This window comes from Homo sapiens (genome assembly GCF_000001405.40).
Source record: "Homo sapiens chromosome 3 unlocalized genomic scaffold, GRCh38.p14 Primary Assembly HSCHR3UN_CTG2".
Classification (NCBI taxonomy): domain Eukaryota; kingdom Metazoa; phylum Chordata; class Mammalia; order Primates; family Hominidae; genus Homo; species Homo sapiens.
In genome coordinates, this window is record NT_167215.1 from 19,798 (window position 1) to 47,725 (window position 27,928).

The following is a 27,928-nucleotide window of genomic DNA, read 5'->3' on the forward strand; positions in this document are numbered from 1 at the left end:
AGGCATGGTGGTGCACGCCTGTAGTCCCAGCTACATTGGGAGGCTGTGGTAGGAGGGTCGTTTGAGCTTGGAATATTGAGGCTGTAGTGAACAGTGATCAAGCCGCTGCGCTCCAGGCTCGGTAACAGAGGGAGACTCTGTCTCATAAATAAAACGTTTTGTATAGATTCCCTTAGAAGTGAGTTAGACATCAGTCATAGAATTATTAGCCACTTTGATGTCTACCTTGGGAGTAAAACATATAATAAGGGGCAGCGTTAAACCATCTCAATCACTAGCCTCCAACTTCTCAAGAAGGTTCTTATTTCATGAATTTCTACACAAAAGACTAACTGGATTAAGACATTTGGTGGACACCATTTTGAGATGAAGAATCTTGAGTGAGAAGAAGGGAGATCTCTACTTACTGAAGCTTCCCAATGACATAGTTAAATGTCCCCCAAAAGAAACTTTAGAACAAGACTTTCATCATGCCATATCTCTATGGAAAAGGAATTTCTTTAAAAGAAAACAAAGGCAAACAATTGATAATATGATTCTCATGGGAAAGTTTTCATCATAAAAGAAAAAGAGGGCTGGGTGCCGTGGCTCACGTCTGTAATCCCAACACTTTGGGAGGCTGAGGTGCGTGGATTACCTGAGGTCAGCAGTTCAAAAACAGCCTGGCCAACATGGTGAAACCCTGTCTCTACTGAAAATACAAAAATTAGCCAGGTGTGGTGGTGTGCACCTGTAGTCGCAGCTACTTGGGATGCCGAGGCAGGAGAATCACTTGAACCCAGGAGGTGGAAGTTGCAGTAAGCCGAGATGGTGCCACTGCACTCCAGCCTGGATGACACAGTGTGACTCCATCAAAAAAAAGAAAAAAAGAAAAACAAAAAAAGGGACAAAGTATACTGGTCCAAAAAAGAAGAAAGCAAGAAAAAAAGGACAAAATATACTGGTTAGTATCATAACAGTGAGATAGTCCCCCTTTGAGATTAGAAAATAACAGTATACTCAAAGTAACATTAATGAGAACCAACATAAAATAGACAACATTCACTATCTACAAAAGTAATCTGCACCAATTAGCAATGTATGAGCATGTGGTTGAGAATATTTTCTATAATATGGGTACTAGAAGGAAGAGACCTCAAGAAAATGGTCAGAGCTGGAAATGTAGATTAGGGAATCTAGGTCAAAGTTTTGAGATTTTAGGAGTCCTGAGAGAATTTAAAAAGAGAAATAGCCACCAGGCATGGTGGCCACACCTGTAATCCCAGCACTTTGGGAGGCCAAGGCAGGAAGATCATGAGGTCAGGAGTTCAAGACCAGTCTGGCCAACAAGTTTCTTATATAGGTAAACGTGTTCCATGATGGCTTGCTGCACCTATCAATCCATCACCTAGATATTAAGCCCTGTGGGCATTAGTTATTGATCTTGATGCTCTCCCTCCTGACCCCAACAGGCCCCAGTGTTTGTTGTTCCCCTCCCTGAGTCCATGTGTTCTTATCGTTCAGCTCCCACTTATAAGTGAGAAGATGCAGTGTTTGGTTTTTTCTTCCTGCATTAGTTTGCTGAAGATATCAGCTTCGGGTTCATCCATATCCCTGCAAAGAGCATGATCTCATTCATTTTTATGGCTCCATAGTATTCCATGGTGTATATATACCACATTTTCTTTATCCCATTATCACTGATAATGTCCATCTGTGTTGATTCCATGTCTTTACTATTGTGAATAGTGCTGCAGTGAACATGCAAATGCATGTATCTTTATAATAGAATAATTTATATTCCAACGTATGGTACTTTTAAATCAGTTTTGGTATTAAAAATCATGCATTTTGGAAAATATTGATAATGGAAAAATCCAAATTCTGCCAAAATATGTTGAGAAAATAGAGAGTAAATATATCTTTTCAAACTTTAAATGCCTCAGGCTCTTAGTTAATCTTCCCCAGATCTGGGAAGACCTAGAAGGGGAGATTGGGCTACCTTAATGAGGGCCATTTCAATCTCTTGGCCCTGCAGCAGCCATTTCAAAATAAGTCAAACAATATATTTGGGGGTAAATTATTTTGATTTCCTTCAGCTTCTTCTCTCTGTGATGTTGCACCAGAATCAGATTAGAAAGGAAGCCACATTATAAGTGTTAATAAAACCCATCTGATGAGATTTGATAGTTTGAAGGGTGTGTTTCCCAGACCCTTTAGATAGAAATTAGGGCCAAGGAAAACAAGGTTTTATTCCTCTATATAAATCTGTCAGTGCTTTAAGCAGTGAAAGAAAGATTTTTCATTGAATTTTACAGACTTGATACTAATGAAAAGGATAGCTTGTAAAATATAAATCTATTTTTTTATAAAAAGGACATGTTGTTGATTCTCTTAGACCTTGAACCCTGGCCAGTGATTTGAAACCAAGCAGTACCTATCTGCAGATCTCTAGTACCAAATTAATTTGGGGTGGGGGGTAACAGGTTTATTGAGAAATAATGAACACGCCATGCAATTCACTCATTTAAAGTATAGAATTCATTAACTTTAGTATTTTCGAGAGTTATGCCGTCATCATTACAATTAATTTTAGAACATTTTCATCACCCTAAAAACAAACCCCACATCATTTAGCCATCTTCACTAGTTTTCCCTTCCTCCCTCAGCCCTAGGGAACCACCCACCTTCTTTGTATAGATTTGCCTATAAGCCTCTGAAATAAAAAGCAAGTGGTCTGCTGGGACTGGCTTATTTCACTTAGCATAATTTTTCATGCTGCGTCTGTGCTGTAGCAGGTATTGATGCCGGGTTTTTGCTCCTTAGTTCAGCTACATCTGTGTTCTTCTCTCATGATCAGGAAAAATTAAGCCTGCAGACACATTGAGGAGGGCAGAATTTATTATGTGAAAGCACAGCTCTCAGCAAAGAGAGGGGTCCTGCAAAGAGGTTTCCACCTCACAATTGAATACCAGGAGCACATGAGCTGAAGCGGCCAGGCTCCTCATCTGCATAAGGTGTGAATTCCTGGTGACTCCACCCCATCCCCCCACTGCATGTGGGCCTCCAGTCTGCTGTGGGCATGTCCAGGCAAGACAAGTCCAGGTTCCCTTATCTGCACATAACATCAGGTGTAAACACTTGTGGGGCTCGTTGGAGATTCTCCGGGGACCCTTCCGTATCTGCCTAGGCATTTTGCTGTCTCCTTCTAATACGGTATCTGTACTTAATTTCTTCTTATTGCTGAGTAATATTCCATTGTATGGATACATCAAACATTTTATTTATCCATTCGCCAGGTGATGGACCTTTGGGTTCTCTCCCAGCCAAAGGTGACAGACGTTCTGGTTCTTTCCACCTTTTGACTACTATTAATAATGCTGTTGTAAACATTTATGTATGAGTTTTTGTGCTTGCGTATGTTTTTATTTTTCTGGAGTATATACTTATGACTGGAATTTGTGTGTCATATGGTAACTTCATGCTTAACCCTTTAAGGAGCTGCCAGTTTGTTTTCCAAAGTGGCTGCATCACTTTACATTCCCAGCGGCATTAGATAAGGGTTTTAATTTCTTTACATTTTTCCTAACACTCTTTTTTCTTGAACAAAGATTTTATCCTGTGGTGTGAAGTGATACCACATGTGGTTTTGATTTACATTTTCCTAATGACTAATTACATTAAGCATCTATTAATGAGCTTTTCCATCTTTATATCTTCTTTGCAGATATATCTATTCAAAATCTTTGCCCATTTTTTAAAATTGGCTTATCTTGTTATTTATTAATTGCAAGAGTTATTTATATTTCCTATATATGTAAGTCCCTTATCAGATACACACTTTTCAAATACTTTCTTCTACTTGGCGTCTTACCTTTTCATTTCTTCATGCTGTCTTCTGAGGCACAGCAGTTTTCAATTTTGAAGTCCATTGAATCCATTTTTCCTTTGGAGTCATAGCTAAGAAAACACTGGCAAATGCAGTCACAAAGATTTATGCCAGTGTTTTCTTCTGAGGGTTTTATAGTTTTAGCTTTTACAGTTAACTATTTTATTTTGAGTTAATTATTAAATAAGATATTTGGTCGAAATTTATTTATTTTTTGCTTATGGATACCCAGTTGTCCCAGCACCATTTGTTGAAAAGACTATTCTTTTCCCATTTTGTTCTTTTGTTAAGCTTGTATAAAATCAATTGACTGTAAAAGTGCAGGCTTATTTTTAGATTTTCAATTCTTAGCTTGTTTATGTCTATTCTTATGTCAAGGCCCAATCGAATTGAATGAGAAGTTTTTTTCAATCATGTTGCATATTACCAGTTGTCTTATGTCATAATAAAAATTAAATTTAGTGGAATGTCTGTAACTTCACCTTTTGTGTCACAAAGGAGTCTCTGGCCAGCTTATACCTTACTTCCTCTAAGACATGATCAGACGCCAGGCTTACAAGACACACTTAATTTCTTTTTTTCTCCATTCAAGCCTTTAGTCTCTTTTCCATTGCCTCCCACTATAGTTATATTTTCAGTAAGTTTTGGTTACAGGATCTGCTGACATAGTCTAATATTCAGTGCATTATGTTTTACTAACTCATTATAATTCATAGAACCTTCCATAGATGTTTACCATCTAGGAAGGAGAAGTTTAAGTCTGAGCCGCCAGCTTTCCTCAGTGGAAATCAAGTGAAGTCATCATCTTGCAGTTTACAGACCCTCTTTTCTCCTGGTAGCTGGTTCTCTTGGGTAGCACTGTGGCTAATCCTTTTATTAGTGCAGATCTTGCATTCTCAGAAACCACAGTTCCCTATATTGACCTCCTTTTACTGAAACAGAGATGCACAGCTCTGCTTTCTAGCTCAGTAGAGGATTCTTGGAATAAAACGTTTAACTCATTCCAAGAAAAAGTCTTAGGAGTGCAGCACTTCAAAGTCAGGTAAGGTTCAGGCAATTTATCAGAGACACATAGTAGATTAGTATTTTGACTTTCAAAATTTCAGAGCCAAGTTGTGTGCTATAGAGAAGCATTGTGGCGTAACATAGAGATGGGATGGTCTTAACTTCTCCATACAAACAAGCTTGGAGTAAGGTAAAGGAGAAATTGCATTTGTGTCTTAACACTCAAAACACACTATGCTTATTTTACTTCTGTGAAGAATAAAAATCATTCCATAATATTCTCCTTATTTCCTCATTTAGAAAAGAAAATGAAAATTGAATACTAGGTTGATTAATAAATACTCAAAACTTCTTCTTTTAGAATTTTAGTTAATTGAAATCAGGTAAATGTCTGATTTTGCCTATGTCACCCAGTATTTCTAGTTGTTTTTCAAATCATACATCTTCTTGCTTCCCAGTCTTACTTCCTAACCTGAGGGGAAATTGTAAGAAGACACCCTTGCCTTGTTATCAGCGTTCATTATTGAAGTTGTTTTAGGAAAATTCCTCCTCAGCAGCTTATGTCTCTCTCCTGGTTATCTACTGCTTCTCAATAATGTTTGACATCAATAAATAAATATCAACCTTTATTAGATCCTGCTTTAAAGGAGACTCTTTTCTGCTGCATAAGTTATGTTTCCTGTTGTCTCTTTTTAAAACTTATTTTCCTAACAATTACCCAGAGTCTTGTGGCTTGAAAGAAAAACATTTATTTTATTCATGAACCTGTGGTTTGGGAAAAACTTGGCCAGGACAGCTTGCTCTGCTCCCTTCAGCTTCCCTAGGAACAGCTGATCAGTTACGGAAATGGAATCCTCTGAAGCTTTGGTCACCCACTTGTTTGATGGTTGATGCTGGCCATCGGCTGTAAACTTGGTTGGGACAGGCAGCATGAACACTGACACAGGCACTTTCAGGCTCTCTTTGTGGCCTGATGGCTCTCACAATAGGGGCTGGGTTCCAAGGGAAAACAGTCTGAGATAGGGAAGCCACATGGTATCCCTTTCACTACATTCTACTCATTAGAAGGAAGTCAGTAAGGCTGGCCCATATTCTGTTTTTTAAATGGGATGAATGTAGCTTCTCTTTTGTTTTAATTGACACATATATACATAATTATGGGCTATAGAGTGATATTTTTATACACGTATATAGTGTGTAATGATCAAGCTAACTAGCACATTTACTACTTCAACCATTTTTCATTTCTTTGAATTGTGAACATTCAAAATTTTCTGGCTTTTTAAAAATATACAATAAGTCATAGTTAACCATATTCACCCTACAATGCCACAGAACACCAGAACTCACTCCTCTTATCTAACTGTAATTCTGTATCCATTAACCAGCCTCCCCTCCACTACTTCTGTGAGCTTTTTTTTTGTTAAGAGACAGGGTCTTGCTAGTGTAGTCTGGGCTCTGGGCAACTGTAGTCACCCAGACTGGAGACAGTGGTTTGATCATAGTTCACTGCAGCCTCAAACTCTTGGGCCCATCTGATCCTCACACCTCAGCCTCCTGAGCAGCTGGCATTATGGGCATGCACCATTGCACATGTCTGATTTTTGACTTTGTAGAGATATCTCCCTATGTTTCCCAGGGAGCTCTGGAACTTTTGGCCTCAAATGATTCTCTTGCCTTGGTCTTACAAAGAGCTAGGAAATTACAGGCATCAGCCATATTGCCCAGCCTTCAATTTTCCTTTAGCTCCCACACATGAGTAAGAATGTGCAGTATTTATCTTTCTGTGTCTGCACTTAACATCCATCAGACTGATCCACGTGGCCACGAATAACAGGATTTAATTCCTTTATATGGTGAATAGTATTCCACTGTGTTTGTGTGCCACAGTTTTTCATCCATTCATTTGGTGATGGACATGTATGTTGATTCCATACACAAGCTGTTGTGGATAGTGCTACAGTAAACATATGAGGACAGATATCCTTTTGATCTATTGTTTTCTTTTCTATTGCCTGAATACCCGGTAGTGGGGTTGCTGGATCCCTCGGCAGTCCCATTATTAGTTTTTTTGAGAAAACCTCCTGTTGTTCTCTATAGTGGCTGCACTAATTTACCTTCCCACCAACAGCATGTAAGAGTTTACTGTTCTCTGGAGCCTCACCAGCATTTGTTATTTTTTTTGTCTTTTCAATGACAGCAATTTATTCAAATTGAAGCAAGATTATATCACATTGTAGATTTGATTTGTATTTCCCTGAGGATTAGTGATACTGAGCATTTTAAAATTTATTTATTGGCTATTTGTATTTCTTTTTCTAAAAAAAAGTATAGTTAGATATTTTGCCCAATTTTAAACTCAGATTTTTTTACTGTGATGTTGTTTGAGTTTTTTTGTATATTTTGTATATTAGTCCCTCATTAGGTGAATAGCTTGACAATATTTTCTCCTATTCTACAGGTTTTCTCTTCACTCAGTTGTTTGCTGGACAGAAGCTCTTTAGCTTAATGTAGTGTCTTTTGTCTATGATTTGTTGTTTGCCTATGCTTCTGATGTCTTACCCATAAAAATCTTTGTGCAGACTAATGTCCTCAAGCCTTTTCCTTATATTTACTTAGAGTAGTTTGATAATTTTGGGCCTTACATTTCAGTCTTCAATCGATTCTGAGTTTATGTTGTTATATGGTGTTACATAGGAAGCTAATATCATTCTTCTCCATATGGATATTTAGTTTTCCCAGTGTCATTCATTTGAAGAGGCTGTCCTTTCCCCAGCGTACGTTCTTGGCATGTTCGTCCAAAATCAGTTGGCTGGAAATATGTGAATTTATTTCAGGGTGCCATATTCTATGGTCTTTACCCCAAGAATCATTACTTCTTAAAATGCAATTCAAATTAGCATGAAACATTTGCAGTTTAAGGAAAGGCTTATAGCATCAGAATCCTTAATCATAGATTTCATTATTTTGTGTTGTTTTTTGAGATAGGGTCTTTGTCTGTCATCCAGGCAGAAGTGCAGCGATAATAATTCACTGCAGCCCTGAACTCTGGGTACAAGCCATCCTTTTGCCTCAGTATCCCAACTAGCTGGGTCTACAGGCATGAGCCACCATGCCCGGGTAATTAAAAAAATTTTTTTTTTGTAGAGATGGGGGTCTCACTATGTTGCTCTGGCTGATCTCAAATTCCTGGTCTCAAGTGATCTTTCTGCCACAGCTTTTTAAAGTGCTAGGATTACAGGCATGAGCCACCATGCCTAATATAGAGTGTAATATCACTTTCAAAGTCTTATTCCTAGACCCATTTATTGACTTTGGCCTAAATAACTCAATATGATATCTCTGAAACTTTTTTTGACATACTGTGGGGAATGATAATGAAGGAAGGGGGTTAGACACTTTTTACTAGGAGATAACTTTGTGCCATTTAAGGAGGAACAAAAATGAATTATCAGAAAAATAAAAGTAAAATGAAGTACAAAAATTCTGTGGCAAAGATGATGATAGTAAAGAATATATTTTTATGACTCATGGTAGCTTTAACTTTGTTCTTAAAATTCTGAGTAATTTAAGGGTTCACATTTGAAGAATCTGCTGCATTACAGATAACATTTTATTGCAAGTAAATGCATTTCAAAATTTGCTATTGGTTTTGTATTAGATTATTCTCAGCCTACTTCATTATCAAGCTATACTATTTTATTCATGCAGTTTGATGATCTTATGGTGGAGAAGGAAGCTGTATCTTCAAAATGTGTCAATTTGGCTAAAGAGAATCAAGTTTTTCAACAGGAGTTATTATCTATGAAAAAAGTACAACAGGAATGTGAAAAACTTGAGGAGGATAAAAAGATGTTGGAAGAAGAAATATTAAATCTTAAGACACATATGGAAAACAGTATGGTAGAACTTAGTAAACTACAAGAATATAAATCAGAGCTAGATGAAAGGGCAATGCAGGCAGTAGAAAAATTAGAAGAAATCCATTTACAGGTGAGTTGTTTAAATCAGGTAAGTTTACTTGTAATGTGCTTTCATTTATTTCACTGCAAATTATATTTTGGAGATATATATATATATATATATATATAGAGAGAGAGAGAGAGAGAGAGAGAGAGAGATTACCTCTCTTGTAGCAATCTGCTTTGTAGAGTTCTAGAAAAAAATGGTATCTGTTTTTTCTTTTAAATATTTAAATTTCCATTATTATTATAACAAAATCAATCTTTCAGAGTAATGATTCTCATTATGGAGTAATTTGATGATTAAGACCAGTTGGCATAGGAAAAAATTGTGATTTAGAAATTATGTGATAATTATGAATTGGTCTTAAGCTACAGTGTTCATTGATCACTTTTTAAAACTATGAATGGATTCTATTACTTTTTATATGACCAGATTACATTAATACTAGCATAATTATGATTTCAAATTTTTACAAATCAGACTTAATTCTGAATTCAGTTATTAGTTTTGATATTGCTGAAATATTTTAAACTTCATCCTCTTTTTTAACATATTCAAAAATACTCTTTGAATCGCTGACTCAAAATGAAAGGCAACAAACATAATAATTAGGTTATAATTGTTTTAAAAGTGTATTCTTTTCCTCTGTTTTAGGAACAAGCACAATATAAAAAACAATTAGAGCAGTTAAACAAGGATATAATACAGCTTCACTAAATAAGAAGGAACTCACACTTAAAGATGTGGAATGTAAATTCTACAAAATGAAAACTGCTTATGAAGAGGTTACAACTGAGTTAGAAGAATATAAGGAAGCCTTTGCAGCAGCATTGAAAGCTAACAGTTCCATGTCAAAAAAATTAACTAAGTAAGTCAAAACATACACTCATAGAAAATGAATTAAGCTCATTAATTTGTTTCAAAAGCATAATTTTTATTGAGATGGCTTCAGATTAGAAGGAAGTGAATGCTAATTTGACAATGTAATTTTGAAAAATAATGTTAGTAAATAATTTTACCTTTAAAATGTTAGTCAAAGATAGTTTTTGTCTCTCCTCTCATTTTTTTTTTTTTGCTTTTGTATGGCTTTTTTTCCTGAAAAGTCTCATGTAATTAACCTGATCTGTTAGTTTTTTTCACTAAGTATTTTTGAAGCTTTATAATCAATGAAGTGACCTTGTTATAAAATTACTTGTCAGAATTTCCCTAAATAGAAATATTAATGTGTTTAATTTACTTTTCAGTGGATCACAACCTAAATGCAAAGTGGTACTTCTACTCTGGGCACAATTGTTTTTGATTGTGATCTTTAGTATTATCACCAGAGGGTGCCGCAAGAAAGACTATTTGTGTAACATATTCAAGATGTTACAGAAAGGCACCCTTGTGAAATAGGGAATAATTATCACAGGAATTTAAAGAAGTGTAATTCACAAAGCGGTTAAAAAATAACACCTTGTTCAGCCTGAAGCGGTGTGTGGAAGGCAGAAAAAACATGCCCCACCTCCAGGGCCTTGGTCACAGTGTTGGGGACTAATTGTCTTCAGAGATGCTTTAATTCTTTTTGATCACCAACCAGACAATCTAGTTCTCCCCTAGGAGTTGTTGCTCTGAATTATTCCTCAGTGCCAAATGTTTAATTGGTCCTAGATAATGGGTGAAATGTACAAGAGTGAAATCTAAAACTGGTTTACTAAACACAAGTGTTCCTAGATTTTTTTTCGTTCATTTTAGTTTTCTTAACCTACATTAAGGAGTACAACATGATGTTTTGATATAATTATTTCTAGTGAAGTGGTTCTTATAATCAAGCAAATCAACATATTCATTTTCCCACATTATTACCCTTTAAATACAAGTATTTCTAATGGAATCTTCAGAATCTTCCAAGTACAGCCATTTTAGAAGGCAGGAAGTTTTACCTGTTGAGCCATACATTACTGATAGCCATTTCTCTTCCCTGTCTACTTTGTTTGAACTGCTAGTTCAGTAGAAATCACCTTAGAAACAATGGTGCTTCTTTAGAATGATTTTAAAATTATAATTCCTTACAACAGGTATGCTCTTACACATCTTCTGTGTGAAAACACTATTTAGTGGGTAATTTGGTTTACTCTCAGGGTAAGTTTTTAAAAACTGCAAGTCATTAAGAATCATTTAAGGAAAAATGAAATATTAAGCATTTGTCTTTGCTACCTTTACAGATTGAATAAGAAAATAGCAATGATCAGTATCAGCTCTTTATGGAGAAAGAGCAGGTGAAATATTTTCTCAGCACTCTTCCTACAAGGCGAGGTCGAGAGTCACCTTGTGTTGAAAATCTTACTAGTATAGGACTCAACAGAAAATATATTCCCCAAATGCCCGTAAGAATTCCTACTTCAAACCTCAGACTTCAAATAACTGCCAGAACTACTTGACTGAGGTTAGTTATATGACCGTTTCTCTTTAGGGTTTCATTTCTCTAGCGTAATTCTTGTTTATAATTTGGTGAAATACTGAGTTGTTCTGTTGACTTTTGCATGTGAAGTAAAGATCATAATTAGCTGTGTTAACACAGAAAGGAAATGGGAACTTTACATTTTTTAATTCCCTGGAGCTCTCATTTTCAAGAGATATCCATTTGCTAACTTTATTCAATAAATGTGACTAAACTGACATGTTTGAAATGTCTTTAAAAGCTGCATTTAAGTTAGGTTTTAGAAATTGCATGTTATTGCCTGATAAGTGATGATATACTTTGAGATGGTCTGGCTTACTCTCTAATTGATTATAGTTTAGCTGTGGTTCATACCACATTTTTTTTTCTTTTTTTTGAGGCAGTGTCTCACTCTGTCACCCAGGCTGGAGTGTCTTGGTGCCATCTCCACTCACTGCAACCTCCACCTCCCGGGTTCAAGTGATTCTCCTGCCTCAGCCTCCTGAGTAGCTGAGACTACAAGCACCCACCATTACACCCAGCTAATGTTTGCATTTTTAGTAGAGACAGGGTTTCACCATATTGACCAGGCTCTTCTTGAACTCCTGACCTTGTGATCTGCCTGCCTGAGCCTCTCAAAGTGCTGGGATTACAGGCATGAGCCACCGCACCCGGCCCATGCCACTTTTAAAGTTTCTTTGCACCAGCCAGGTGTGGTGGCTCATGCCGGTAATCCCAGCACTTTGGGAGGCTGAGGCAGGTGTATCACGAGGTCAGGAGTTCAAGACCAGCCTGGCCAAGATGGTGAAACCCCAACTCTACTAAAAGTACAAAAAAAATATTAGCCTGGTGTGGTGGTGGACACCTGTAATCCCAGCTACTAGGAAGGCTGAGGCAGAGAATTGCTTGAACCTGGGAGACGGAGGTTGCAGGAGCTGAGATTGCACCACTGCACTCCAGCCTGGGTGACAGGGCAAGACTCCATCTTGAAAATAAAAAAAAAATTAAAAAAGTTTATTTGCACCATCTCAATTCTTCCCACCCATAATCACAACTGAATGATTAGCATCCACTTTGCCACATATGGATGTTTATTATTTAGTAGAATCCAAAATAATTGCATTTTATGAATTAAACAAAACACTAAAATGTTCATTTCCCTTTTTATTTTAAAAGCTTTGTGCTTGGCCAGGCATGGTGGCTCACACTTGTAATCCCAAAATTTGGGGAGGCCGAGGCAGGTGAATCACCTAACGTCAGGAGTTTGAGACCAGCCTGGCCAACATGATGAAACCTGTCTCTAGTAAAAATACAAAAATTAGCAAGGCGTGTTGGCAGGCATGTGTAATCTCAGATACTCAGGAGGCTGAGGCAGAAGAATCACTTGAACCCAGGAGACAGAGGTTGCAGTAAGCCAAGATCATACCACTGCACTATAGCCTTGGTGATGGAGACTCTGTCTCAAAACAAAACAAAAAAAAGGTTTGTGCTTTCTTTACATAAGAGTACATCTTCTGACTATAAAAATCCTGGAAAAAACCTAGGAAATACTCTTCTGGATATCATATTTGTCAATTAATTTATGGCTAAGTCCTCAAAAGCAATTGCAAGAATAACAAAAATTGACAAGTGTGATCTAATTTAGCTAAATAGCTTCTGCACAGCATGAGAAACTATCACGAGATTAAACAGAAAGCCTAAAAGAATGGAAGAAAATATTCACAAAGTATGGATATAGCAAACGCCTATTATCCAGAATCCATAAGAGACCTAAACAAATCAACAAGCAAAAAATAAATAAGACCATTATAAATGGGCAAAGGACATGAACAGACAGTTCTCAAAATAACACACGTAAGTGGCCAACAAACATTAAAAAATGCTTACCATTGCTAATCATCAGAAAAATGCCACACAAAACATCAATGAGATACCATTTCACACCAGTCACAATGACTTTTGTTAAAAACAAATAATAAATAAAAACTTAAAAAAGGATGTTGGGGAGGCTGTGGAGAAAAGGGAACACAAACGGTTTGTGGCAATGTAAATTAATTCAGCTACTATGGAGAGCAGTTTGGAAATTAAGTACTAAGAATGACTGTTGGATGCAGCAACCCCATTACTATACTAGGGGTATACCGAAAGGACAATAAATCATTGTAACAAAAAGATGTATACACATGTATGTTCATTGCAGCACTATTCACAATAGCAAAGACGTGGAGTCAATCCAGGTACATCCAAGGTAGATTGAAAATCCAAGGTAGATTGGAAAATTCCATATATACCATGGAATACTATGCAGCCATGAAAAGAACAAAATCACATCATTTGCAGCAACATGAATACAGCTGGAATCCACTCTCCTAAGCAAACCAACGCAGAAACAGAAACCAAATATCTCATGTTTTCACTCATGTGGGAGCTACATATTGGGTGCACATTGTCATAAAGGTGGGAATAATAGACACTGGGAAATAAGAATGGGGAGGGACAGAGTGGGCCAGGGTTGAAAAACTACTTCTTGGGTCCTATGCTCACAACCTGTGTGATGGGTTTAATTGTACTGCAAACCTCGGTATCCCTCAATATGCCTTTGGAAGAAACTTACAGGGGTACCACGTTAATTTAGAATACAAACTAGAAAAAAAAGAGAAAAGTTTACTATAAGTAGAGAACAGAAATTTCTTTTTAAGATAAAATTTATTGAAGTAAAAAATGGATTAAACTTTTATAAAGGGCAGAGTTTTCTAAGAATTTCAAAGCAATGCATTCATTGCAAAAGATGGCTTTAATTACTTAATCTTTTTTTTTTTTTTTTTTTTGTGAGACAGGGTCTCACTCTCTCACCAGGCTGGAGTGCAGTGGTGCAGTCTTGGCTCACTGCAACCTCCACCTCCTGGCTTCAAGCAATTCTCCTGCCTTAGTATCCCAAGTAGCTGGGACTACAGGTGCACATCACCACGCCCAGCTAATTTTTGTATTTTTAGTAGAGATGGGGTTTCCCCATGTTGGCCAGGATGGTCACGATCTCCTGACCTTGTGATCTGCTTGCTTTGGCCTCCCCAAGTGCTGGGGTTACAGGTATGAGCCACCATGCCTGGCCATTGTTTAACCTTTGTACTAATAAAACACTACCTTTCTAAAATCATGTATATGCAATAGATCAATATTAACTGCATTTTTGTCAGATTACTCTAAACAGCATTACACATATACATCCTCTGTTATCTAAACTTAAAATAAGTAGAAATTTTATTTTATTTATGTGATTATTTTTCTATTTAAGCAAACTTCAAGTTATGTCTAGTCACTAAAAATACTAAAGGCCACATTTTGTAAGTGATACATGATTTTCATGATAATGTTTCTTGTTTAATTTAGACATTATTATTATTTTTACTTATTTTAGATGGGGCTGGACTGTGTAGAATAAATAATTAGAGAAACAAAGAGAAGTACGTTGACAAAATTTATTAATTAAATTTAGGTTTATTTTAGAAATAAAGTGTAAATAGCAAATGGCATTCCTTTTCATTCTTGGGTTAGTAGATACTACATCAATATTTTTTTCTTACACACATCTAATGAAAGATGTGAAAACAAAAACTTTCACAGAGAAGACTGTACTTATGCACCATAAATTCATCATGTTCCTAAGCTTAAACAGTTCCCAAGAAGTCTGTGCATCTCTTTTTCACTGGCTCTACAGTTTCTTAAGTTTTGCCATCCTCATGGAACTGTCAGCCAGCACACTGAAACGATTCTCAGAAAACAAAAGCATCATCAAGTTCTCAGGGTTTCGGTAGAGATTGAAGGCCAACAGACCTAAGACTCATTCAGAAATACTTAGCTGAGCAATAACCCTTCATAAACAGTCACTTGACAGGTGACATTTTAAATCTCCTCTAATTTACTGTGTCATTGGCTTACACTTGTTCTCAGGAAAAGTTCCAAATTTTTCACCATGAAATAAAAACACCCATGTCAATGTAATTCTTGCCAAGTTACTCAGCCTTGTTTCTCACCACTTACTGCACTCTGCCCTTTGCTCTAGCACCAAACTGGATGGAGTGGAACTCTGCAGGGCTCTTCCTCACCTCAGGCTCTTTGTCTTTGCCTCTTTCCTCTATCTGGGAAGCTTTTCCTTGTCCTTCAGGTATCAACCTATGTTATCTCCTCCACCAGAAAGCCCATGATATTGACATAAAAGTGGGTAGATGTCCCTTCTCTGTGTTCCAGTAGTGCCCTGCTGTATACCTGTCACGGTATCTATGACTCTATATGGACATTGCCTGCCTGTCTGTTTTTTAGGTTATAGCTTATGACTGTTGAGAGGTGGACCATGCCATCTTCATCTTGTAATTCCAATGCTGGTTCTAGTACCTTAGCATGTGGCTGTTGATTACATGAATGAAGACTGAAAAAGTTCTGATATTTAAACACAATTAGAATTAATGCCATGTGTAAATTATTAAATAGTAATTTTGTATTGTAAATGTACATACATATTTCTCATTCTTATTAACTCTGATAAAGTTCTCAAGTCTTTAGTTTTTAAACTCACACTTAGTTAACTGAAGTGTTTTAGGTAAAGAACAAAATTCTTTATTTTTCTTTCCAGCTGTTGCTGTATTGGACACTTGCTCCCATCTACTTTCTTCTCTAGAATCCACGGGTAAGCCACATCTAATGAAGAGAATATTTAACCATAAAGTCTTAAGGAAAAATTCTATGATGATTTAAAAGATTATAAAACTTTATTACTGGGCTATTTACACATTTTAATTGTTTCTCATAAAATATATAACATTCCAATATTTACTGAAGTAGGATATTTTTGTATCATATGTATGATTATAATTTATAGGGTATTTTAAATGATGTTTTTTGGCCTCCTTAAGTTTTAAGTGGATCTTGCAAATGAAAACCAGTATTATTGAGTTTGACATACTCAAATTGCCCAAATGTCAGCTGTTTAAACAACCAAGTCATCACTGATACTTTAGTAAAGGTTAGTAAAGGTCATCGAAGGCTTATTTGCATTTTACAGTTTTTATTACTTAGGAGAGTTAAGGAGTACCTGCCAGGTTTGTCCATGCTAATGTTACAATTTTCTTTTTGTAGTTCAACTGTATTTTGTATGGAGATACTTTGAGGCTCTGTAAATATCTGGTTACTCCTCAGAACCCACTAGATTTAGCATTTCATGGATGACTTGTGTTTGAACAATTATTACTATGATGGTTACCAGATGATTATTTTCTTATTCTCTTCTTTGTTCTACATGGAGAAATAAAACCAATAAATAAGGGAGAAGGAAAGCTCATGATTCTGATGCTCCAATTCCCCAAGATTAGGCCAGTAGTAGACATTCCAAGCTGACTTTATGTCTCTTTGATTTGTCTCCATTACTCTGTCGGCACTTTTTTACTTTCTGGCAGAAGATGTTCTAAGCTCAGCTTGTATTTTCTCTGCGCCAGCTCTGGAATGAGTCATTTTTTTTAGAAGCAGAGGTGGAGCCACTGAGGAAGCACAGGTGAGCCTTCCCCAGTGTGTACTCACTGGTCCCCAACAGAAGAACCACTGCCACATCCACTGAAGTACCAAGAAACTAGCAAAGGGCCTTCTGGCTGTCTGGGGAGAGTCCTCATGTGGTCCCTGGCTGTCTCAGAGGTTCTGGATTAGTCTTCCTGTAGCCTCTGTGTTCTGTCTTTAGATCGGGGCTCTGTGGGAAGGGCCCTGAGAGACCCAACAGCACAGCGTGCCTTATCTGCCAAATGTCCCTCCCTTCCTCACACCCTGACACTCAGGAATAGGGTAGATGGTGTGTCCAGGCAGTATCAGGCCACCTCACTTTCTCCTTTGAGACGGGCCCAGAGGGCCTTTGGGGTGAGTGTGGAGCTGGGAACCTGGAGCCTGAGGCCAACTGTCTCTCCCTGTGTCTTGGAGGAAAGGCCACGTCCCAAAAAAAAACCCCAGGGCCTGACCTCTGGGCACACATGCAGGGAGGGAGGGTCTATGAGCTGAGGGGGACATTGTAATGAGACTTTGAACCCCGTTGCTCCGGGGCCTGGTCAGTGGACCATGGTCAGAGATGACCTGGTCATCAGGACCTGGTCATTTGGGACCTGATCAGCAGGGGCCTGGTTAGTGGCGGCCTCCTCAGTAAAGGCCTCATCAGTGGGGACCTGGTGACCTAGTCATTGGAAGCCTGGTCAGTGGGGGGACCTAGTCAATGGTGGCTTTATTAGTGGGGCCTGATCTGTTGGAACATAAACAATGAAAAACTGGTTGGTGGGGCATACACAATATATCATGGGCCTGGTCAGTGTGGGGCCTTAGTGGCTTGGAGCCTGGTCAGTGAGGGCCTGGTCAGAGGGGGCTCAGTCAGCTGGGTACTCGTTCATGGAGAATTGTTCAGTGGGGGGTCGGTTGAGCAGCAACCTGGTAAATTGTGGTCTTGTCAGTGGGAACCCTGTCTTGTCAATGGGGACCAGGTCAGTGGAAAATTGGTCAGTGGGGTCTGGCCCATGAGGCCTATTAAGTGTGGGCCTGGTTAGGAAGACATGGTCAGTGGGGACTTGATCAGTGGGACCTGGTCAATGGAGGAGTGGTCATTAGGGGTCTCATCACTCATCACTGGGAACCTGGTCAGGGGCAGTTTGTCAGTACCTGGCCTGCTGGCCACTATGTGACCTCAGGCAGGGGGGTTGTCTGTGGAGTCTCCTTGCCTCCATCTGCAGGGAAAGTGAGTCGGGGCACCCTGGAGGGTGGCTGGAAAGAGAAGGTGAGAAGATGTGTTGAATCCAATACTGCTTGGCAGACCTACAACTTTACAAATGACCTGTGTTCCACCTAGAGAGGGTGCCAGCCCTCTCAGCATTATGCAGTGCCCCTCCTCTGTCTGCATCCCCAGGACCACCATGGGTGGGGAGGGCAGAGATTGGGGAGCACCTATAGAGGCTCTAATGCTCTAAGGTGACAGTGATGAGGACCTGGGTGCACCCATGAGTGGAGAAGCTAGGCCTGTCCAGAGAAGCAAGACAAACACACACATACACACTCACACACACACAGGCACATATGCATACACAAATACATTGCATACACACATGTCAGTTCAGGGGATAGAGGACACTGACTCTGGGCCCTGTTGACCCAAGCAGACTCCCATGGTGGTGGGTTGTGTCACCCCACAATGTCACTGTTGCTGAGTCCCCATCGCCTCTGTGTTGTGGAGCAGTTAGAGACACACAGCAGTGTCTGTGAGTAGCTCTGCGTGAAGGACCATTTTCTAGATGAGAGGCACATCTCAACACAGCTCACTGATCAGATTCAGGTGAGTGGGACCTGCTCTTTTCTCTTCCTTCTGGCTTGGGAAAAGTCACTATCAGGTGGATGGTTTTGGTCTCTGGGCAGCTACTGAGGGTAATCCCTGAACACTCACCAGCTGCCTGTTATGTGCTGACAGTCATCTCATTCATCCTCGCAGCAATTCCATTCTGCATCTTTTCTGATCACCTCCGTGACCACACAGGACAACCCCATCAGGGCCCTGTCACCAGGCCCAGTCTAGCTCCATGATAACCAAGACACAGGCCCAGAGACAATCGTCCTACATTGTGCCTGCATCTGACACCCCTTGGTAGGTAGTGACCAGCACAACATGGAAGAAGCCAGAGCAGCATGCAGCCAGCTGCTCTGCAGCCCCAAATGGCTCCTGGGCCTTGGGAAGTCACTCATAAAGGGGAAGCTGGTCACTTTGAGGTCCCTGAAGGGAAGGGTGAACGTGCATCCCAACAGCCCTGGCAGCCAGCAGCATGCCATACATATTTTCACCCAACGTGTGTGACAGAGGTCCCCTCCTGGGGCACAAGTCCCATACCTAAAGCATCTTTTCCCAGTCGGACCTCATCCTGAGCCCTGGGAGGGGAGGGGGAGCATGGGCCCCCCTGCAGCAGCCAGGATTACCACCCAGGGGACTCGGCCTTCTGTGGTCCTGGCCAGACTTAGAATTTGGCCCAAGACAAACTTACTCGGAGCAGCTTCTCAGTACCTGGGGCCTGTGCATACCAGGCAAGGCCAAGCTGGCTCAAAGAGCAACCAGCCACCTCTGCAAGGGTATGCCAGTAGCAGGTGGAGCAGTCACCAACCTCACGCACTCAAGGAAACAGGGATGGCCAGTTTCCCACAGTCTGAGTGACCACCACCTGACAGCTGATGGAGTGGAGGCCTGAGGAAAAGCAGATGGCACTGGGGCTCCACCTCCAGGGCAGAATAACTGATTTACCCTGACTGGCAGGGAGTGACGTTGGTGGCTGGTCCACTGGCTCCTGGCACACCCTTGCAGAGGTGGGTGGTTGCTCTTTGAGCCAGCTTGGCTTTGCCTGGCATGCACAGGTCTCAGTGCAACAAATGTGCTGCAAATGGAGCCACATAGAGGAAATGAGCAGCAGGCTCAGAAGTGGGGTGTGTGCCGCCTTTGGGGCTCCAGTCCAAGCATCGGGGCTTCTACAGCACTGTGGGCTTCTCGGGTGCCAAGAGGCAGACCACAGGCCATCTTGAGGAGGACTCTGGTAAGAGCTTCCTTGTGTACGTGGATGATGTCCAGAATGTTGGCCTGGTGTCCCTGAGATAGCACTAACAGGTCCATGACTGGGTCCAGATCCTGCCTGGGCTGATGGGCAAAGAGCTCACTGACAGTGTGGAAGGCATCTATGGTGAAGTGGATCTATGTTCAAGTGCAGAAAGGGCCCAATCTTGTAGATGAACCACACAGCCAGCTTCTGGATGCAGGTGCAGTGCCACATTTTTTGTCACTTCCTGATGTGCCCCACCAGCACTGAAGAGATAGCCTGGAGACAGGGCAAGAGGAAGGCTGAGAAGGATGAGATGGTGAGTGCCAGATTCTTCCTGGCCCTGAGCCCACCCCCAGTGTGACACTCAACTTTTAGGAGTGGGAGAGCAAGATTGATGGCTTCAAGTGCTTCACCAAGAAGATGGACAACAGGGCACTCAGGTCAACTTCACAGCCAATGAGTGGTGGCAGGCTTTGAGAAAGAGCATCAGAAGCCTGACAGTTCTTCTTCAGCCTCAGCCAGGCCTTGGAGCTGGAACAGGCCATCCACTTCAGTATAGATGCCTTCCACTCTGTCAGTGAGCTCTTTGCCAGTCAGTCCAGGAAGGACCTGGACCCAGCCATGGACCTGTCAGTGCTGTCTCAGGGACACAAGACAAACATCCTGGACATCATTTACATACACAAGGAAGCTCTTACCAAAGTCACGGAGAACAGACAACATGTGGCAGAAGGGAAGACAGAGGTGCAGAGGCTGATGGAGTCATTATCACAGGAACAGGATTTCTTTGGCCACTTTGGCTGAAATTCACCACTTCCATCCAATTCACTCAAGTGAGAGACTTGAAATCACAGATGGAGCATTTCTTGCAAAAAGAGATACTATTTTTTCAAAAAGTCACCTAAAATTTGATAGTGTTGAATGACTAGCTATTCGAGTGTGGACTTTTTCCAGTTCACGGGTACTTTCTACAGCAGAATGATAACAGTATCAAAGAGCTGGTGCCAGCTATCGGTGGTAGTACAAGGATGACTTTGTGCTCAACTGAAACCCAGATGAATATAGAATTGTGTACGAAAGTGTTAATATGGTGATAGAATAGAAACAGTAGCAAATGAACTAAATCATACTATGAATGCCTACACTACCATTATAACTTTTTGAAGAATGATAATACCACTTACTTTATTGTCTTTTGAAGTAGGAATATTTTAGTGGATATCCTATAGATCTGAAACCCTATAAAGAATCCCAAAGAAGCTGGCTGGATAAAGCCTGCTATGGATGTCTTTATACTCAAAGACTGATGAGGCAATTCGAATATGTGTCCCCACCAAATCTCTTGTTGAATTATGCTTCCTAATGTTGGAGGTGGATCCTGGTATAAGGTGATTGAATCATGAAGGCAAATTTCTCATGAGTGGTTCAGCACCATCCCCTTGGTACTGTCCTCACAATCATGAGTAACTTCTCGTGAGATCTGGCCACTGAAAACTCTATATCACTCCCTACTCTCCGTGATTTCCTCTTGCCATGTGAGACAATTCACTCTTTCATTACCTTGCACAATGATTGAAAGATTTCTGAGGCCCCCCAGAAGCAGAAGCACTAAGCTTCCTGTCCACTCTGCAGAACCATGAGCCAATTAAACCTCTTTTTCAAGATAAATCTTACCAAAAATGGCAAATGAGGACTGGAGCATTGCTATAAAGATACCTGAAAATGTGGAAGCAACTTCGGAACTGGGTAATGGGTAGAGGTTGGAAGAGTTTGGAGGGCTCCAAAGAAGACAGGCAGATGAGAACATTTTTGGATCATCTTAGAGACTGGTTAAATGGCTGTGACAAGAATGCTGACAAAAACATGGACAGTGAAGGCCAGGCTGAGGGGGCCTCAGATAAAAATAAGAAGCTTTCTGGAAAATGTCTCTCTTTTGGATATGGAAAGCTTACACAATGCCTGTACCATCATTGTACCTTAGACGCAGTGAACTTGCTTTTTATTTCAGAGACTTGTAGGCAAAAGAGAATGTAGCCTTGACCCAGATGAGACTTTGCACTTTGTAACTTTGAGTTAATGCTGAAATGAGTTAAGACTTTGGGAGACTGCTGGCAAGGCATGACTGTATCTTGCAATGTGAGAAGGACATGAGATTTGTGGGGTCAGGGACAGAATAATACGGTTTTTCTCTATGCCCCTTCCAAAACTCATGTGAAAGTACACTCTCTAATGTTAGAGTCGGGGCCTAGGTGGAAAAAGCTTTAATCATAAAGGAGTGGGAGTGGATCCTTCACAAATGGCAAAGCACCAAGCCCTTAATGCCATCCTCCTGATAGTGAGTGAGTTCTCATGAGATCTAGTAGTTTAAAAGGCTGTGGAACCTCTTTCCTCTCTCTGTCTTGTTCCAACTTCTGCCATATGAAACATGTCATTGCCGCTTGGATTTCCAGTGTGGTTAGGAGGGGCCTGATCAGTGTGGGCCTGGTCAGTGGACCTAGGTCAGTGAGGACTATTTAGTGGGATAGTGGTCAGCAGGGGTCTGCTTAGAGAGGGTCTCATTAGTGGGGTCTAGTAGTGGGGGTTTTGGTGAGTGGGGACCTATTGGCTGCCAGTTGTTTGGTGTCTGGTCAGTGCAAACCTGGGCTGTGGGGCTTGATCAGTGGAGACCTGGTCAGCTGGGGCTTAGTGCTGGTCTGGTCAGCATGGGCTGGGGCACTGGTGACCAGGTCAAGGGGTGCTACTCAGTGCAGGACTGGGCACATGGGACCTAGTCAGCAGACCCTGGTGGGCGTGTCCTCATCAGTGAGGCCCTTGTCAGTGGGGCCCTGGTCAGGGCAGCCTTGTCGGCGGGACCTAATCTGTAGTGTCCTGGTCAGAGAGGACTTGGTCCGTGGTGACTTTTGTAGCACCGGGCTACAGGGTGACCTGGTCAGCGGGAATCTCAGCATTTGGTGCCAGTTCAGTGGGGTCTACTCACTAGGGTCCCAGTCAGGGGCATCTGGTGACATAAGGCCTCATTATTAGGGGCCTGATCAGTGGCAACCTGTTCCCTGGAGGCCTGGTCAGTGGGGCCTCATCTTTGGGCCAGGGAATGAGTTCATGATCAGTGGAACCTGATCAGTGAGGCCTTGTCAATAATGACCTAGTCAGTGAGGACTTGTCAGTAAGGACTTGGTCCGTGAAGCCTTGTCAGTGAGGCCTTGTCAGTAAGGTCCTGGTCGGTGGAGTCCTTGTCATTGTGTGCCTGGCAGTGGGGGCCTTGTGAGTGGGGCCTGGTCATGAGGGTCTAATCAGTGAGGGTGTCATCAGGGAGGACCTGATGTGCGGGGTCTGGTCAGCAGGGACCTGGTCAATGTGGGCTGCTGAGCACTGCTTGGATAAGCCAGGTGCAATGTGCATTATTGAAGGCCCTGTGGACAGCTGGGATAGCCCAGTGATGCCCAAGGGCCTAGTCAAAAGTGGACAAAGCACGTATTTGGATGGACCTGGGAGATCCTGCTCAGAGATTCTGACAGGACAAAGGTAAAGGAAGGGCCAGAGTGGCTGGAGAGATGGTCACAGTCTATGGGCTGCACAGGATGGAGGAGGCCAGGGAAAAGGCAGGGTGGGCAGTTGGGGTTCAGGGAGAGGCAGGTGCATGCTGGGAGGTCAGACCCTGTGAAGGCTTTGGGGGCGTCAGGTTGGGTAGGCTCCAGGCACTCTCACTCACATAGGATTCCAGAACACTGCTACAAGGCTCTGAGTGTTTGTCCCTCACATAGGATTCCAGAACACTGCTGCCATTGTCTGAATGTTTGTCCTCCACATAGGATTCCAGAAGTCTGCTGCTGGGGTCTGAATGTTTGTCCCCCATCTAGGATTCCAGAACACTGCTGTGAGGGTCTGAATGTATGTCCCTCACATATGATTCTAGAATATTGATGCTAGGGTCTGTATGTTTGCCCTTAACATATGATTTCAAAACACTGCTCCTGGATTCTGAATGTTTGTCCTTCTCATAGGAATACAGAACACTGCTGCTGGAGTCTGAATGTTTGTCACTCACATAGAATTCCAGAACACTGCTGCGAGGATCTGAATGTTTGACCCTCAAATGGGATTCCAGAACACTGCTGCGAGGGTCTAAATGTCTGTCCCTCACATAGGTTTCCAGCACAATGTTACGAGGTTCTGAATGTTTGTCCCTAACATAGGATTCCAGAGCACTCCTGCTGTGCTCTGAATGCTTCTCCCTCACATAGGATTCCAGAACACTGCTATGAGGGTCTGAATGCTTATACCTCCTATAGGATTCCAGAACACTCCTGCTGTGCTCTGAATGTTTGTTCCTCACATAGGATTCCAGAACACTCCTGCCGTGGTCTGAATGTTTGTCCCTCACATAGGATTCCAGAACATTCATGCTGGGGTCTCAATGTTTCCCTTAACATAGGATTTCAGAACACTGCTCTTGGGGTCTGAATGTTTGTCCCTCACATAGGATTACAGAACACTGCTGCTGGAGTCTGAATGTTTGTCAGTCACATAGAATTCCAGAACACTGCTATGAGGGTGTGAATATTTTTCCCTCACCTAGTATTCCAGAACACTGTTGCAAGGGTCTGCATGTTGGTCCGTCATATAGGATTCCAGAACACTGCTGCTGTGGTCTGAATGTTTGTCCCTCACATAAAATTCTGGAACACTGCTACAAGGGTCTGAATGTTTGTCCTTCACATACCATTCCAGAACACTGCTGCCGTGGTCTGAATGTATGTCCCTCACATAGGATTCCAGAACACTGCTACTAGGTTCTGAATGTTTTTCCCACACCTAGGATTCCAGAACACTTCTGCTGGTGTCTGAATGGTTGTCCCTCACATATGATTCCAGGACACTGCTATGAGAGTCTTAATGTTTGTCCTTCACATAGAATTCCAGAACACTGCTCCCGTGGTCTGAATGTTTGTCCCTCACATAGCATTGCAGAACACTGCTACAAGGGTTTGAAAGTTTGTCCCTCACATAGGATTCCACAACACTACTGCTGGGGTCTGAATGTTTGGCCCTCACATAGGATTCTAGAACACTCCAGCTGGCTTCTGAGTGTTTGTCCCTCACATAGGATTCCTGAAGACTGCTGCTGTCGCTATAGTCGTTGAGAGTGTCTGAATGTTTGACCTTCACCAAACACCAAATATCCTGGCCCTTTAGTCTTGTACTTTCCAGCCTCCAGGTCTGTGAACAATAATCTCTGTTGTTTATGAATTACTCAGTCTGAAGTATTTTGTTATAGTAGCCTAAAGAGACTAAGAGAGCATCACCTGCCCTGTCACCTCATCACCGCATTACTGAAGCTATACTAACAGCAGTCACTTTTAGTGGGTACTTCATGCATCAGAATAAAGGGAAAAAATTGCAAGGCATACTAAAATCCAAAAAAAGAAAAAAATACAATTTGTATCAACAGAGCAAGCTTCAGAAGCAGACAAAGATATGATCTTGGAATTTTTTTTTAAACCTCTGGAGAATATGCTAAGGGCCTAATGAATGAAGTAGACAGTATTCAAGTGTAGACGGGTAATGTAATGAGAAAGACAGACATCGTAAGAACTTTCAACATAATGTAGTGATGAAAAACGTGGTAAATAACTGAAGAATACCTCTGATGGCTTATTAGTAGACTGGACTCAGCTGAGTAAAAATCTCTGAGCTTGAGGATTTATCATCAGAAACTTCAAAAACTAAAGAAAAGAAACACTGAAAAGAACAGAAGATGATATTCAAGACTGTGGGACAACTACAAAAGGTGAAACAGTAATGAGAATACCAAGAGGAGAAGAAATAGAAGAAAGTTCTGCAACAACCATGTCTGAGAACTTCCAGTATTAATGTCAGACACCAAACCAAAGATCCAGGAAGCTCTGAGAACACCAGGCAGAATAAATACCAACAACCTACACTTGGACATATAATTTTCAAACTATATGAAATAAAAGATAAAGGAAAACTCTGAAAGAAACCAGAGGTGGGGCAGAAAACACCTTACCTACAGAGACACAAAGATAAGAACTGCATTCAACATTTCAGAAACTGTGAAAGTAAGAAGACAGTGAAATGAAAAATTCAAAATGTTGACAGAAAAAACCCACCAACCTAAGTTTCTGTACCCACTGAAACCACCCTTCAAAAGTGAAGGAGAATTAAGGCCTTCCTCAGAAAAATAAAAATTCAAGAAACTTGTTGCCAGGAGACCTGTCTTGCAAGAAATGTTAAATGAAATTCTTTAGGGAAACAAAAGATATATAACTGAAACCTGGATCAACATTTTTTTAAAAAGAGCATTAAAGAAAGAATTGTGGTACAATAAAAACCTATGTATTTATTCTTAATTGATCTGACCAAGAAGATCATAGACAATAACAAATACAGATATATTATGTATGCTTATATACAATTGAAATGAGTAACACTAATACAAGGAATGGAATGGAAGGATGGTAGGGAGGCATTGTGGTACAATAAAAACATGTATTTATTCATAATTGATCTGACCAATAAGTTTGTAGATAATAATAAATACACACAGATAGATTATGCATGCTTATACACAAGTGAAATAAGGAACAATAATACAAGGAATGGAATGGAAGGATGGGAGGGAGGAATCAGGTGTTTTCTTTGTTAAGCAGGTAGTCACCCGTGAAGTGGGATAGTGTTATCTGAAAGTGGACTTGAATTGGTTGTAAATGTATATTGAGGAATTAGGTGTGTTCTTTGTTAAGCAGGTAGTCTTATTTGTGGGATAGTGGGATAGTGTTATGTGAAAGTGGACTTGAATTGGTTGTAAATGTTACTGAGGAATTAGGTGTTTTGTTTGTTAAGCAGGTAGTCTTATTTGTGGGATAGTTGGATAGTGTTATTTGAAAGTGGACTTGAATTGGTTGTAAATGTATATTGCAAATTCTGTGACAACTAGTTAAAAAAAAGTTTTAAAAAGAGAAGTACGTACTAAGAAAGACAGGGAAAATGGAGTCATCTAAAATCATCAATGAAAACTGCAAAAGGCAGAAAAAGAGTCGTAGACAAAAGAATGAAGACTGAGGAGAATGAATAGAAAACAGTAACAAATATAGTAGATATTAATCCAATGATATCAATAATCACTTTGAATGTTAATGGTATGAATGTACCAATTCAAAGGTAGAGATTGTCAGAGTCTATCAAAAGACAGACACATCTTGTTTCACTGCACTTTGCTTTATTGTGTTTTGTGACCATGTGTTTTACGTATTGAAGGTTTGTGGCCACCCTGCAATAAGCAGGTCTCACTGGCACCATTGTTCCTACAGCACGTGCTCACTTCACGTTTCTGTGTCACATTTCGGTCATTCTCACAGTATTTTAAGATTTTTATTATTGACTCTGTTGTGGTGATCTGTAATCAGTAATCTTTAATGCTACTGTTGTCATTGTTTTGGGAACCACAAATCACACCAGGATAAGACAGCAAACAATTGACAAATGCGTTTGTTCTGACTGCCCAACCAACGGGCCATTTCTCTTTCTCTTTTTCTCAGGCTTCTTTTTATTAATATTAAAATGTGGCCAATTAATAACCCTACAATAGCCTCTATATGTTCATGAAAGAAGAGTTGCATGTCTGTCACTTTAAACCAAAAGGAAGAAATAATTAAGCTTAGTGAGGAAAGCATGCTGTAAGCAAAACAGGCCAGTAGCTAGACCTCATGCAACAAACACTTAGCCAAGTTGTGAATGCAAACGAAGTGTTCTGGAAAGAAATTTAAAGTACTGCTCCAGTGAACACATGAATGATAAAAAGCTAAACGATCTTGCTGCTGTTATGAAGAAAGTTTAATTGGTCTAGATAGAAGATGAAAAAAAAACAAAAAACATTCCATTAAGCCTAAGCCTAACTTTCTTTTTACTTTTTTTTCTTTTTTTTTGAGACAGAGTTTCATTCTTCTTGCCCAAGCTGGAGTGCAATGGCGTGATCTTGGCTCATCGCAACCTCTGCCTCCCAAGTTCAAGCCATTCTCCTGCCTCAGCATCCCAAGTAGGTGGGATTACAGGCAAGCACCACCA

The 27,928-nt window shown here is 40.6% G+C and overlaps 2 long non-coding RNA genes across 22 annotated transcripts in view; one reads left to right on the top strand and one right to left on the bottom strand.

Annotated features, from left to right (window-relative positions):
* The window catches only part of LOC101928669 (uncharacterized), a 75,950-nt gene that overhangs the window by 15,709 nt on the left and 32,313 nt on the right, over positions 1–27,928 (bottom strand). For 3 of the 11 annotated variants that reach the window (XR_001756112.2, XR_007068511.1, XR_007068509.1), the window contains one exon: positions 2,503–2,851. The exons of 5 other annotated variants lie outside the window; for them this stretch is intronic. This is a non-coding gene — a long non-coding RNA (uncharacterized LOC101928669). Of the gene's footprint in view, positions 1–2,502; positions 2,852–3,853; positions 3,951–17,958; positions 18,039–27,928 lie in introns of those variants that run through there. 3 more of the 11 variants (XR_001756111.2, XR_001756118.2, XR_007068515.1) reach the window with 2 other exon arrangements.
* LOC124905316 (uncharacterized) lies at positions 8,971–27,834 on the top strand. 11 transcript variants are annotated; one of them, XR_007068517.1, is made up of 5 exons: positions 8,971–9,707; positions 11,044–11,264; positions 15,886–16,800; positions 18,431–18,909; positions 27,797–27,834. It is a non-coding gene; the product is annotated as an uncharacterized LOC124905316 (long non-coding RNA). The 11 variants fall into 11 exon arrangements; XR_007068516.1 differs by lacking the exon at positions 27,797–27,834 and adding an exon at positions 23,845–26,913; XR_007068519.1 differs by lacking the exon at positions 27,797–27,834 and having other exon boundaries at positions 18,431–18,603; positions 18,757–19,091.